This window comes from Homo sapiens, chromosome 11, assembly GCF_000001405.40.
Source record: "Homo sapiens chromosome 11, GRCh38.p14 Primary Assembly".
In the NCBI taxonomy this organism is placed as follows: Eukaryota; Metazoa; Chordata; class Mammalia; order Primates; family Hominidae; genus Homo; species Homo sapiens.
Genome location: NC_000011.10, coordinates 62,875,874 through 62,889,275, shown reverse-complemented (window position 1 = coordinate 62,889,275; position 13,402 = coordinate 62,875,874). Strand labels below are relative to the sequence as shown.

The 13,402-nt window shown below is 50.3% G+C and overlaps 1 protein-coding gene across 5 annotated transcripts in view, besides 6 other annotated features; it reads right to left on the bottom strand.

The window, feature by feature from the left end:
- Positions 1 to 415: 415 nt before the first annotated feature.
- The window catches only part of SLC3A2 (solute carrier family 3 member 2), a 32,752-nt gene continuing 19,765 nt past the window's right edge, over positions 416 to 13,402 (bottom strand). For 2 of the 5 annotated variants that reach the window (NM_002394.6, NM_001012664.3), the window contains 9 exons: positions 7,829 to 8,257; positions 7,210 to 7,383; positions 6,277 to 6,368; positions 4,751 to 4,819; positions 4,586 to 4,644; positions 3,919 to 4,099; positions 3,668 to 3,811; positions 1,058 to 1,141; positions 416 to 945 (listed from right to left, as the gene is read on the bottom strand). In NM_002394.6, coding sequence (NP_002385.3) covers positions 583 to 945; positions 1,058 to 1,141; positions 3,668 to 3,811; positions 3,919 to 4,099; positions 4,586 to 4,644; positions 4,751 to 4,819; positions 6,277 to 6,368; positions 7,210 to 7,383; positions 7,829 to 8,257 — 1,595 coding nt within the window. In that variant the 3' untranslated portion in view covers positions 416 to 582. Of the gene's footprint in view, positions 946 to 1,057; positions 1,142 to 3,667; positions 3,812 to 3,918; positions 4,100 to 4,585; positions 4,645 to 4,750; positions 4,820 to 5,163; positions 5,288 to 6,276; positions 6,369 to 7,209; positions 7,578 to 7,828; positions 8,381 to 12,396; positions 12,493 to 13,402 lie in introns of those variants that run through there. The other 3 variants (NM_001012662.3, NR_037193.2, NM_001013251.3) reach the window with 3 other exon arrangements.
- Positions 6,905 to 8,104: an enhancer, noted in NCBI's record as "MED14-independent group 3 enhancer chr11:62648644-62649843 (GRCh37/hg19 assembly coordinates)". NCBI's record gives its function as "activates an origin of replication core promoter dependent on BRD2, BRD4, P300/CBP and CDK7 cofactors, and independent of MED14, by STARR-seq in HCT116 cells {active_cell/tissue: HCT116}" and the evidence as "EXISTENCE:reporter gene assay evidence [ECO:0000049][PMID:35650434]".
- Positions 6,905 to 8,639: a biological region, named in NCBI's record as "MED14-independent group 3 enhancer GRCh37_chr11:62648644-62649843".
- Positions 7,389 to 7,668: an enhancer, noted in NCBI's record as "active region_4867". NCBI's record gives its function as "activates an Ori minimal core promoter by ATAC-STARR-seq in GM12878 lymphoblastoid cells {active_cell/tissue: GM12878}" and the evidence as "EXISTENCE:reporter gene assay evidence [ECO:0000049][PMID:35858748]".
- Positions 7,748 to 8,639: an enhancer, noted in NCBI's record as "NANOG-H3K27ac-H3K4me1 hESC enhancer chr11:62648109-62649000 (GRCh37/hg19 assembly coordinates)". NCBI's record gives its function as "activates a minimal SCP1, AML or CMV promoter by ChIP-STARR-seq in primed H9 embryonic stem cells {active_cell/tissue: H9 hESC(primed)}" and the evidence as "EXISTENCE:reporter gene assay evidence [ECO:0000049][PMID:30033119]".
- Positions 8,089 to 8,358: an enhancer, noted in NCBI's record as "active region_4866". NCBI's record gives its function as "activates an Ori minimal core promoter by ATAC-STARR-seq in GM12878 lymphoblastoid cells {active_cell/tissue: GM12878}" and the evidence as "EXISTENCE:reporter gene assay evidence [ECO:0000049][PMID:35858748]".
- Positions 9,009 to 9,058: an enhancer, noted in NCBI's record as "active region_4865". NCBI's record gives its function as "activates an Ori minimal core promoter by ATAC-STARR-seq in GM12878 lymphoblastoid cells {active_cell/tissue: GM12878}" and the evidence as "EXISTENCE:reporter gene assay evidence [ECO:0000049][PMID:35858748]".

The window sequence follows — 13,402 nt, the reverse complement described above, 5'->3', positions numbered from 1 at the left end:
TGACCCCAGAACAGGGACAGTTTCTGGTATGTGCTGAGTGTTCAACAAATTCTTGAATGCATGACCTCTAGTATCCTTTAGAAATACCTTTTAAAAACCAGACCATCCCACCCCTACTCTCCGTGAAAGGCCAAGTCTGCAAAAACAGGAAAACTAACTATGTTTGGCTAGAGCCCTTTGCTGAAGGGGATGAAGTTAAGAGTCGGCAAGACCCAAGATGTCCAGAGAGCCCCGTGGCCCAGCATGGGTGAGGCATGGGTGCTTTCCCAGCCCTGACACCTCCATGCTGTTGACTTTGGGAGGCCCCCTCTCCTCTGGCCCTGGGACCCTACATAAATAATGAAGGAGTTGGAGGAGACGCATGGGAGGGGAGGAAGGAGAGAAATTCCTGCTATGAGAGAAGCAGAGGGAAGACTTCACCATGCAGGGGTGACTTTTATTTGAAGGCAGAAAACACCCTATTTGGGGGTTCACTCATAATCTGCAACAGTTTGTTTGTTTGTTTTTAAAAAAGAGAAAAATCAGAAGCCAAAGGGCCTGGGAAGGAAAGGAGAAGGGTAGTGGGTCCATGTCAGGCTGAAGTCAGGCCGCGTAGGGGAAGCGGAGCAGCAGCCCTTCGTGAGGCTCCAGTTTCAGGCGTTCCAGCTCAAGAGGGGAGCCCTCCTCACGGCCTGGCTGGGTGCTGAGCAGGAGGTCAGCCTTGGCTGGCAGGCTGGCGCTGGCAGGCAGGTCGGAGGCCTGCAGTCCAGCCGAGAGGCCCACATCCCCAAAGTTAAGCACTACCAGAAAACGCTCATTCTGGTCCCAGTGGCGGATATAGGAGAAGAGTCCAGGCCCAGCGGAGAACGCGTGGAAGTCCCCATGCAGTAGGGAGCGCTCCTTACTCCGCTGGTCACTCAGCCGCCGGAACAAGGAAAGGAGGGAGCCAGGGTCTTCACTCTGGCCCTAAGAATGATAAAAACATAGCAGAAGCGTGTGAGGGGCTCCCCTGGGTACAGACTTCTACAAGCCCAGCCCACCCTCCACCGGTCAGTTTCTACCCATCTAGAACTCTTACCTTCACAGTCATGTTGGCACTTACAGCCCCTGGGATGTCAGGGAAGCTGGACTCATCCCACAGCATGACTGGAGCCTCCATAGGCTGAAAAGCAGAGAAAATAGGACTTTAAAAAGGCCTGGGGTCAGGCATGGTGGCTCACATCTGTAATTCCAGCAGTCTGGGAGGTCAAGGCCAAGAGGATTGCTTGAGCCCAGGCATTTGAAACCAGCCTCAGCAACATAATGAGCCCTCATCTCTACTACAAAATTTTTAAAAATTAGCTGGGTGTAGTGTTACATCCCTATAGTCCCAGATACTGGGGAGGCTGAGGAGGGAGGATCACTTGAACCCAGGAGTTTGAGCTTGCAGTGAGCCATGACTCCACCACTGTACTCCAGCCTGGGCAACAGAGTGAGACCCTGTCTCAAAAAAAAAGCCCTGGGCCCACTGTCCCGTATCCCTCTTCCCATTCACATCCTCATCAATATATAACCTCCCCAACTCATGTCTGGCTAACTTTTTTTTTTTTTTTTTTTTGAGACGGAGTCTCGCTCTGTTCAGGCTGGAGTGCAATGGCACGATCTTGGCTTACTGCAATCTCTGCCTCCTGGGTTCAAGCGATTCTCCTGCCTCAGCCTCCCCAGTAGCTGACCATAGGTGTGCACCACCACACCCAGCTAATTTTTTTGTATTTTTAGTAAAGACGGGGTTTCACCATGTTGGCTAGGCTGGTCTCGAACTCTTGACCTCAGGTGATCCACCCACCTTGGCCTCCCAAAGTGCTGGGATTACAGGCATAAGCCACGACACCCGGCCTGGCTAACTTCTACTGGATGAGTGAGGCAGGCTCCCACCTCAGGGTCCTCACACATACACTGTTGCCCCTCAGCCAAGAGCTCCCAGATGGCTGCCAGCCAGCTCTCTCACTTCCCTCAGGTATCTGCTTGGTTATCTTACCAGGTCTCCTATGGCTACTCTCTATAAAACAAGCCCCATCATCCCCTAGTCTCTAGGCTCCTTACCCCGCCTTCTTTTGCATAGCACTGATCAGCAGCTGGCGTTTTATTTATGCATATCTAATTATCTAACCACCTCCAGCTCTCTTGTGCAATGCTGTATCCTCAGTGTAACAGACAGAAATTATTCTATAAACATCTGTGGAATAAATGAATAACTGGTTCTATAAACATCATGCTGATGGCCGGGTGCAGTGGCTCGCACCTGTAATCATAGCAGTTTGGGAGGCCAAGGTGGGAGGATCATTTGCACCCAGGAGTTTGAGAACAGCCTGGGCAACATAGTGAGACCACACCTCTACAAATTTTAAAAATTAGCTGTGGCCAGGCACAGTGGCTCACACCTGTAGTCCCAGCAATTTGGGAGATCAGGGCAGGCAGAGCGATTGAGCCCAGGAGTTGGAGACCAGCCTGGGCAACAACAGTGAAAGCCTGTCTCTACAAAAATTAGCCGGGCATGGTGGTGTGTGCCTGTATTCCCAGACCACCTGTATTCCCAGCTACTTGGGAAGCTGAGGCAGGAGTATCACTTGAACCCAAGAGGCAGAGGTTGCAGTGAGACATAATCGCACCACTGCAATCCAGCCAGATCAACAGAGCAAGAACCTGTCTCCAAAAAAAAAAAAGATCAGCTGGGCATGATGGCACGCACCTATCTATGGTACATATCCCAGCTACTCAGGAGGCTGAGGTGGGATGATCACTTCGGCCTGGGAGGCGGAGGCTGCAATGAACCAAGATCATGCCACTGCACTCCAGCCTGGGCGACATAGGGAAATGCTGTCTTAAAAACAAAAACAAAAAACAAACAAACAAACAAAAAAAAAAAGTCGGGGATCAACAGTAACCCTGTATCTAAAGCTAGTGAATGCCTTTGTAGTAGTATCCCTACCATGTATTTCTTTCTTTCTTTTCTTTTCTTTTTTTTTTTGGAGAAGGAGTCTCCCTCTGCCGCCCAGGCTAAAGTGCAGTGGCACAATCTCAGTTCACTGCAACCTCTGCCTCCAGGTTCAAGCGATTCTCTTGCCTCAGCCTCCCCAGTAGCTGGGACTACAGGCGTGCACCACCACACCTGGCTAATTTTTGTATTTTTAGTAGAGACTGGGTTTCACCCTGTTGGCTAGGCTGGTTTCGAACTCCTTACCTCCAGTGATCCACCCACCTTGGACTCCCAAAGTGCTAGGATTACAGGCATGAGCCACCGTGCCCAGCCACTGCCATGTACTTCTCCACTTATTTATCTGGCTCCCTCACTAAACTATGAGCTCCTGAGGGCACAGAGCCTAGCACAGTACCCACTGTCCAAAGAATAAAGGAATGAATAAATGAATGGTGGCTACCATAGCAAACATCTGCCAGGTACCAGGCATTACCATTAAAAACATGCCCTCATTTAATACTAACCACCCTTCAAGAAATGCAGTAACACAAGGGATGACCAAAATTCAGAAAGGTAAAATAATTTGCCCAAAGCCACATAGCCACTCAGCTACTGACTAAGAATCAAACGCGTTTTCACCCCAAGGCTCACGTCTATGTGCCGCCATCCCCAGAATCATCATTGTAAGATGGATAAACAACCTCCCTGTGACAGAAAGACAGCAAGCAGTACCTGTCCAGGAAGGGCAGCTGCATCCAGGCCAATCTCATCCCCGTAGCTGAAAACAGGGGTCCCTGGCAGGGTGAAGAGCATCAGCTGGTAGAGTCGGAGAAGTTGAGCCGGCAAGAAGGAAGTCAGGAGCCTTGCCTGAGACAACTACAGGGAGAGACACTCCAGTGAGCCCCATAACCCACCTCTGCCTCTGTCTCCCAACAACCCTTTCTTCTCCCATCTGCCCCCTTTCCCACCAGCATGGTACTCACACTCCAGCTGCACCAGCGATTGCCAGTGGCATTCAAATACTGTGTGACTAGGGATTTTGTATGCTCCCCAGTAGAACCAGAATCAGACAGGTATGAGCTAGTCAACAGCAAGTCTTTGTTGGATTCGAGTAGGCTCAGGATCTGCTGAAGGTCGGAGGAGTTAGTCCCCGCAATCAAGAGCCTGCAGAGGGGAGGGAGGAGTTCAAGGTTAGCACAAGAAAGAATGGGGCCAGGCGCAGTGGCTCACGCCTGTAATCCCAACACTTTGGGAGGCTGAGGCGGGTGGATCACTTGAGGTCAGGAGTTCGAGACTGGCTTGACCAACATGGAGAAACCCCGTCTCTACTAAAAATACAAAATTAGCCAGGTGTGGTGGCCCGCGTCTGTAATCCCAGCTACTTGGGATGCTGAGGCAGGAGAATCGCTTGAACCCAGGAGGCAGAGGTTGCAGTGAGCCAAGATCACGCCATCGCACCCCAGCCTGGGCAAAAAGAGCGGAACTCCATCTCAAAAAAAAAAAAAAAAAAAAAAAAAAAAAAAAAAAGCTAAAGAAAGAATAAAGGTAAAGAAAATGCTCTAGACTAGGAATCCCCCCTTCTTAGGCCTAGCACTCCACTGAGGGGTTCCCACATTGGAGCTGAGTCAGCAGAATGGCTCCTGCACCCACCTGTCTTCACTGAAGCCCTTGGTGATATTTTGCCACTCAGCCAAGAATGAGGATGCATCCTAGAAAGAAAAAAGCAGAATCAAGGACCAGAGAATATTATGAGGCTCTAGCTGAGTCCCTCTGTTCTCGCCCAAGCTTTGTCCCTAATGTGGAAAGGGAACTCACCTTCAGATTCTCTATGTCCCGAACCTGGAACCCATCCACGCCAGCTTGCAGCCAAAACTCCAGAGCATCCTATAGGGGGCAGAAGAATAAAGGACAGACATCAGTTCTCAGGAAAAGGCTCAGAAAATTCCAGCCCACACTAAACCTCACCCACCACACACTTCCCCGGGAGCTGGGGAGAGTCCTGTGCCTTGCCTGGGTCTTCCCCACCTGCACTACAAAGGCTTAGCCTTTGGACCCCTCCAGCTCTACCCTTCCACTCATTTTCTTAGTGCTACAGCATTTTACTTCTCATTCTTGCCTCTGGCAAATCACACAGCTTCAACTTTGAAAGCCACAGAAAAGGCCCCAGAGAAAAGGTATGTCCATAAACATAACTTCGTTTAACACTTAGCATTGGAATGTTAGCATACCTATTTTAGAGATGAAGAAACAGACCCAGAGAAGCAGGGAGACGCGTCCACAGTCATAATCAGTGAGCAGCAGACAGGATCTAAAATGTCAGTCAAGATCCCCCCTCTCCCAGTTTCCTGAGGCCTGGGGAAGGTGTGAGTACAATAACTGCTCAGAGCAAGGCCAAGGATGAAAGATTGAAATTCAAAGCATAGCCCCAGGGCAGTTTAGATTTGAAAAGAGGCCAGTGCTGCTGAATGGAATCCTGGCAGTCCTGCACACACTGTGGAACTTCACCCCCATTCTCCTTTTCTTCCCTTTCTCTGGGCCATGTACTCTCTCCTCTGGTCTCCATTTCCATCTGAGGGTACCGCCCCTCATGCCAAACCATCCAAAAACATTCCCTCATCAGCAACTTTTAAAGGGTCCCCTAGTAACTGGCAAGGCCTAAACTGGATGATCCCGGGGTCCTACCCAAATGCTGGGAGTCCAGAATTCTATCTTAGAATCACAGCTACCAGCAGTGTCAGTATCTGCTTCCATTTTTGTTCTACCCATTCTGAACAGGTCAGTGTCCTAGGACCCAGACATCAGGAGCTAGGTGACATTCAAAGCCCTACTCCTAGCCTGCTGGGTACACATTTGAACCTATGGCAAATTATATACCTTGTATGGTTATACAGAGAATTAGAAAACATCTATAAAATACTTGGCATAGAGTCCCAGACACATAGGAGTACCCCAGTGCTTATAATTTCAGACTGGGCTCTATTCCAAACACATCAAACAAGAACTGGGAAACCAGTCAGGACAGGATTCTCACAGAGAAAGGGCTTCCTCTCCCAAAAGAAAGAAAAATCAAACTTCCAGACTGACTTCTGAGAAGGTCCCTTCCTGGCACTGTCTCATCCTCAGAGTCAAGGAAATAAGAAAAATAAGAGGTCAGAAAAGGAACAAGAAAAACAGGTGTGCTATTGGCCTATCCTTTGGCTATAGGAGGAGGCATTCCTCCTTGGTCCTAAGGAGCAAAGGGACCCTCAGCTGGAGTCAGGCTGGGTCTACAGGGCTTGCTGTGAAAGGACTGTCCCAGCCCCAGCATCTGACTTCCACCAGCCATCAGCTCCAACACTCACCTTCACCTTGGTGGCCACAGTGTCAACCTGAGTGGAGAACCACGAGTTCTCACCCCGGTAGTTGGGAGTAAGGTCCAGAATGACACGGATGCCTAAAACAACGGAGGAAGACGCAATCATGAGACAGTCTATGAGTTAAGGGAAAATAAGGAAATCACAAATGCAAGTCACTGAGTGTTTCCTATGTATTACTTGGTACAAAAGCTTGAATTTGAACCCGGGCAAAATTCATTCCATTGAAACAGATGTGAGCAAGGAAGGGCCTTAAGATATGGGAAGGCAGGCCAGGCGAGTTCAAAACCAGACCGGTCAACATGTTGAAAATTGTCTCTACTAAAAATAAAAAAATTATCTGGGTGTGGTGGCACACGGCTGTAGTACCAGCTACTCAGGAGGCTGAGGCACGAGAATCGCTTGAACCCTGGGGGAGGAGGCTGCAGTAAGCTGAGATCGTTCCACTGCACTGCAGCCTGGGTGACAAGAGTGAGACTCCATCTCAAAAAAAAAAAAAGATATTGGAAGGCAGAAAGTTTATAGTGCAGAGAAGTGGCCCCTGTGTTCCCCACTCCCAAAGTGAACCTTTTTAAACATGTGTCTATATCGAGTCGTAAAACAATATTTGGGATTCCCCCCCCCCAAAAAAACCTACTGTTTTACAAGTTTAAAACCACTGGTTTAGTAAATATCTATATTTTGCAAATAAGGGCACTGAAGCCCAGAAGTTAAATGACCTGCTCAAGATTCCACAGCCAAGTAGAAAGCCCCCAGACGACTGGACAAATCCATTTTAGGCTGAAGACTAACAAATCTCCCCTCTACCTGCCCTAGGAAAACTCAGAGCCAGTTAGCAGGAAACCAGACAAAAGTTCTAGCCTACTTTTCCTCTGGCCAAGTCCTTTCTAGCTGTTTCCTTGGGAACCCCAGGATACCCACTCTTTTTTTTAGCCGATTGCAAGAGACTGTCAAAATCTTCCTTGGAGCCAAAATTGGGGTCGATCTGCAGCAAGTCAGTCTGAGCGACATCATCCTTCTGGTTCTTGTGAATTGGACCCAGCACAAGGCCCTTCACCTTCAGAGAGCTCAGGTAATCGAGACGCCCCTTCAGACCTGAAATGGGGGCTGGGTTAACAAGTGAGGCCCCTCTGAGAGGCCCCTGACCTCCCCACCCTCCCTTCTCCCAGCGCCTAAGGGTGGGACGGGGAGGGGGCAAAGGGGGAGAGAGGGAGGCAAGGCTGAATCACGAGACTCAGAGGAGCTGATGTAAGGAGTCCTGCACATTACTTCAGAAACCGGTTGCAACTGGCTTCTGGCGCCGCGGGGAAGGAGGACGCTGAGTCACCCACCCTCGTGACGGAGTGAGGGGCGGGTCGGCTTTCTTCAAAGAAAGGAGGGAAGGACAATGTGCCGGGGAGGGGGTGGGGGAAGGGGGAACAGTCGTCGGTACGGGATGGAGGGAAGAACCATCTAGATCCGTCTGGGGACAGGGGAGGGGGTCGGTGCAAGCCACCAGATTCAACCGGAGGTACCCGGGACGGGGGCGCGCTGCACTCACCCGCCAGGTTGCCCGCGCCGTGGCCCTGGAAGGCCTGAAGGTCGCCGATGCGGTAGAGGGCGCCCGTGTGCCACCACTTCTGCGCCGGTAGCTCGCGACAACGCGGCGCTCGCACGATTATGACCACGGCACCAGCAAGCATGCCGAGCCAGCCGAGCCAGAAGAGCAGCAGCAGTGCCCAGCGGGTGCGTACCCAGCCGGGGCTGCCTGCCACCTTCAGCAGCTCCTCCTTGGACAGGCCCGTGAACTTAGCCGCGGCTGCCGCCTCCGCCTCGTCTTCCGCCACCTTGATCTTCACCAGACCATTCTTCTCGGCTCCCGCCAGGGACATGGCCGCCCCAGACGCCGCGTTCATCGGCTGCTTCTCGGGCTCTAACTCATTCAGCTCCACCTCCTTCATATCCACCTCGGTGTCCTGGCTCATGGTGCCTGCAGAACCGGCGACACGACGCAGCTTGCGGTCAGATGGTGGCTCAACCCCTACCTGGACCCTCGGACCCAGAACGCTCTCCCCGGCCTCTGTGCCTCCGCGCAGTTTCGGCTACTGCATCTGCTCAGCAGCAGGCGCGGCCTCTGGGAAGGGGCAGCGGAGCCCCGCCCCGGCCCGCCCCTTAAGGTGGAACCTCGGGGACTGCCCCAGCCGTGGGCGGCTCAGGGTAGTAAAGTCAGGAACACGCCTCCGACAGTACTTCCTGCATGGTCCAATTTCTCATCTCCAACCTGTCTAACCCTAAAGTTCTTTTCAACCTGATTCTGGGAAGGCCTGGCACGGAGCCACCTTTAAGTGGACTAGGCCTGTGATCCTGCCCCAAATCCCGAGGCCCCTCCAGTGTCCTTTAGGCCTTACCGCCCCCAAACGCCCCTCTTCTTCCATTCCGGCAGGCTAGTGACTACCCCAACACCATCCTCCATTTGCCCCTGGTTCACGGCTCCGGCCGCCGTCTGGTTTTCCCAACTTTGCATGGCTACTTGCACTCTCAGAGGCAGCCAGTCACAACTTCTGCCTTTTCCCCCACCAAGGCTTGCCCTCTCAGGCCTCTGGGACTTGGCGCTAGACCTCTGCTAGACCTCTGCTTCCGTGCACGGCTTACTCCCACTCGTTTTTCAAGACTCATCTTGAATTCATTTCAAGAAATTCCTCATGCAGCAACTATTTATTGTGTACTCACTACAATACTTTGCTTTGTTAACTTTATTGAATTTAACACTAATCCAGCCTTCTTCACAGTACTTTAAAATGAATGGTTTGGGCAGGAAGGTTGAGGTAGACACCCCCCTTCTTATCCTACCCCACCCCCAGCTGCTAGCACCTGGATGTTTGGCAGCTAGGAATCAGACATCCAGAAGAGACTGATAGGGCTGTAATGAACATAACAGAGCTAGGTCTCAGAGGCATCCACCTTTTTTGTGGAATAGACCAGAAGATGCCATGGCCAGACTCTTACCCACCTTGCAGGAACTCCCACAGTTATCCCCAAACTCCCCCAAGGTCCTGTCTCCCTATCACTTCACTATGTTAGGCCTTGGAGGCAGCTGGTACTGCAGAGGCTTTGAAGAAGCCTAGAATTCCCTCCACAGGGTCCTTGGATTGAAGTGGGGCAGAGACAGGGTTCACAGCAGGGAACTACCGGACATCAACACCGTGGGGTGCCAACACTCTCAGGAACTCCTTGTTCCTAAACAGTGCCAGTTGGGCTACTTTCAGAGAGGAGCTGGAGGAAATCGGTTCTTTCTCCCTTTCCCACCTAGGCTGGAAGCCAAGATTGCTGTGTATTTGGAAGAAAGCAAAAGCCAAGATCTGAAGTAATAGCATAGAGAAAAGGGTCACCCTCTGCTAGTCCCCTCTGCAACCCCAGGCATCCAACCCCATCCCCACCCTAGGAACAAGGGGTGCACGGGGCAGCCCCTGGGAGAAGGCAAGCAAGTGGGTTCAGACCAGTGCTCAAAGATAATAAGAGATCCAAGGTGCCCTGCATGTGCCAGATAAGAAGTGCCAACCAGAGGTTCTGAATGGACTATATCTCGAGCACAAAAGCTCAAGGCTGGGCGCAGTGTGACTCATGCCTGTCACCTAGCCCTTTAGGAGGCCAAGGAGGGAGGATTCCTTGAGGCCAGGAGTTTAAGACCAGACGGGGCAACATAGTGAGACTCCATTTCTAAATAAATAAAAAAATAAATTTTAAAATTATCTGGGCCTGGCTGGGTGTGGTGGCTCACACCTGTAATCCCACCTACTAATCCCTGTAATCCCACTTCTCATGCTGTGGCATGAGAATCGCTTGAACCCAGGAGGTAGAGGTTGCAGTGAGCCAAGAATGGGCCACTGCACTCCAGTCTGGGTGATAGAGCAAGACTCTGCCTCAAAAAAACTAACAGGCCAGGTGTGGTGGCTGACACCTGTAATCCCAGCACTTTGGGAGGCTGAGGGTGGCGGATAACTTGAGGTCAGGAGTTCGTGACCAGCCTGGCCAACATGGTGAAACCCCATCTCTACTAAAAATACAAAAATTAACTGGACATAGTAGCACACGCCTGTAGTCCCAGACTTGGAGGGGTGAGGCATGAGAATCGCTTGAACCCGAGAGGCAGAGGTTGCAGTGAGCCAAGATTGCGCGGCTGCACTCCAGCCTGGGTGACAGAGTGAGACTCTGTCTCAAAAAAGAAAAAAAAAGGCCAGGCGTGGTGTCTCACACCTGTAATACCAGCACTTTGGGAGGCCGAGGCAGGTGGATCAAGAGGTCAGGAGACCGAGACCATCCTGGCTAACACAGTGAAACCCCGTCTCTACTAAAAATGCAAAAAAAAAAAAAAAAAATCAGCCAGGCGTGGTGGCGGGTGCCTGTAGTCCCAGCTACTTAGGAGGCTGAGGCAGGAGAATGACGTGAACCTGGGAGGCGGAGCTTGCAGTGAGCCAAAATCGCGCCACTGCACTCCAGCCTGGGATACAGAGCAAGACTCCGTCTCAAAAAAAAAAAAAATTATCATCTGTAATTGGTGATGTGCCCCTGGAGTCCCATGAGATGCCAACACTCAAGGGAAGCAAAAGCAGGAGGATCACTTGAGTCCAGGAGTTTGTGAGGCTGCAGTGAGCCATGGTGGCACCACTGCATACCAGCCTAGGAGACAGAGCGAGACCCTGTCTCTAAAAATAAGTAAGAACAAGGTTGAGAACTGTGGGGTCAGAAGCTGTCTTTGAGATGGTCCAACATGACACAGTATCTCACTCACAGATCCTCATGGCTCCAAATGGCTGAAGTCAATTCCTTTTGTTTTTTGTTTTTTTTTTTTTGAGACAGGGTCTCACACTGTCACCCAGCATGGAGTGCAGTGGCGCGATCTCAGCTCACTGCAACCTGTGCCTCTCAGGTTCAAGCGATTCTTCTTCCTGAGCCTCCCCAGTAGTTGAGATTATAGGAGGCGTGCACCGCCACACCCGGCTAATTTTGTATTTTTAGGAGAGACAGGGTTTCACCATGTTGGCCAGGCTGGTCTTGAACTCCTAACTTCAGGTGATCTGCCCGCCTCAGCCTCCCAAAGTGCTGGGATTACAGGCATGAGCCACTGTGCCCAGCCTGAAGTCAATTCCTTCTGCATGCATAAAGAGGATAACAGCTTGCCTCTCCAATCTTATCAGCCACCACCTGCTTCACAGGCACTAGCCTCCAGCCACATCAGCCTTCAAACACCTGCCAGACTCACAACACACCAGGCTTTTTCAGGCAGAGCTCTGCATCTTGTACATGCCATACCTCTGCTGTTGGCCCTTCCTGTTTGTCCACTCAACCTCATGAGTTCCTATTCATTCAAGATCTAGCTCAAGTGACAGCTTTTCTCAACTCCCCAGACAAAATTACTTTCCCTCCACCATGCATCTGCCTCTGCTACAATCATGTCCCATTTGTTTATTACATTTGTTTGTCTGGATGTCTCTTTGTCCTTGAAGACAAGTGGCAGGAGCCTTGTGCTATTGTGGACGAACCTGCCTATTCGGAGGCAGCATATAGTAGGCACTTCGCAAGTGTTTGGTAAATAAGTGGATGAACTATGTCAATCAAAACCAATATCTCCCTTCTTAGAAACAACTAAACAGGCTAGGCACGGTGGATCACACCTGTAATCAGCACTTTGGGAGACCAAGGCAGGCAGATCAATTGAGGTCAGGAGTTCAAGACCAGCCTGGCCAACATGGTGAAACGCTGTCTCTACTAAAAATACAAAAATTAGCCAGGCGTGGTGGTGGGCACCTGTAATCCCAGCTACTCCGGAGGCTGAGGTGAGAGAATCACTTGAACCCAGGAGGCAGAGGTTGCAGTGAGCCCAGATCGCACCACTGTACTGCAACCTGGACAACACAGCAAGACTATCTCTCAAAAAAAAAAAAAAAGAAAAGGAAGAAGAAAAAAGAAACAACTGAAAAAAACTAGCATGTGAAGACAAAGGCAGGAAAATGAAAAGGAATTTAAATAACGCTGTATCATATCAAGATAAACCTGTTGCTGCAGGAAAACAAACCAAGACTTGTAACTGTTCAACCAAAATAAAACAAACTGCCAGGCACTGTGGCTCACCTGTAATCCCAGCACTTCCGGAGGCCGAGGCAGTCGGATCAATTGAGGTCAGGAATTCAATATCAGCCTGGCTAACATGGTGAAACCCCGTTTCTACTAAAAATACAAAAATTAGCCAGGTATGGTGGTGCGTGCCTGTAATTTCAGCTACTCAGGAGGCTGTGGCAGACAAATCACTTGAACCCATGAGGCAGGGATTGCAGTGAGCCAAGATCGCGCCATTGCACTCCAGCCTGGGCAACAAGAGCAAAACTCTGTCTCAAAAAAATAATATAAAATATAATAATAAAACTAATAAATTAGGAGATGGAGGACAGGAAAACAAAAAGACTACAGAGAAAAGACTAGAGAAATGGACCAGAGGTGAGTAAAGAGCCTCAGATCCTGCCATATGTGTTGATATAAAGCTTAATATTTACTATAGGAACACAAAGAATATAATTTTTCAAGAATTTAGCCTTCAAGAGAAGGCTGGGCAAAGCAAAGGAAAAAAAGCAGTTTGGCAGCCCAGATGCCAATAAGGTCCACTTTACACTCAGACAGACAGATGGCGGTGGAGCCCTGAAATGCAGGGGGCCAAGTATATAAAGAAAGTTCCTTTCTAACCCTCTGCTGCAAAAATCCATGTCACATGCTTCCTAACACATGAGGATTATTACTTGATCTTAGCCTGAAAACAGGACATTTATTTTTCCTCAAACATGTAAAAAGGATTGACCAGGCACAGCAGCTCATGCCTTTAATCCCAGCGCTCTGGGAAGCTAAGGCAGGAGGATCACTTAAGCCCAGTAGTTTGAGACCAGCCTCGGCAACATAGGGAGACCCCATCTCTACAAAAATTAACAAATTAGCCAGGCATGGTGGCTCACCCCTGTGGTCCCAGTTACTAAGGAGGCTGAAGTGGGAGGATCACTTGAGCCCTCAGGTTGAGGCAGCAGTGAGCTGTGATCACAATCACACCATTGCATTCCAGCCTGGCTGACAGGGTGACCCTATCTGAAAACAA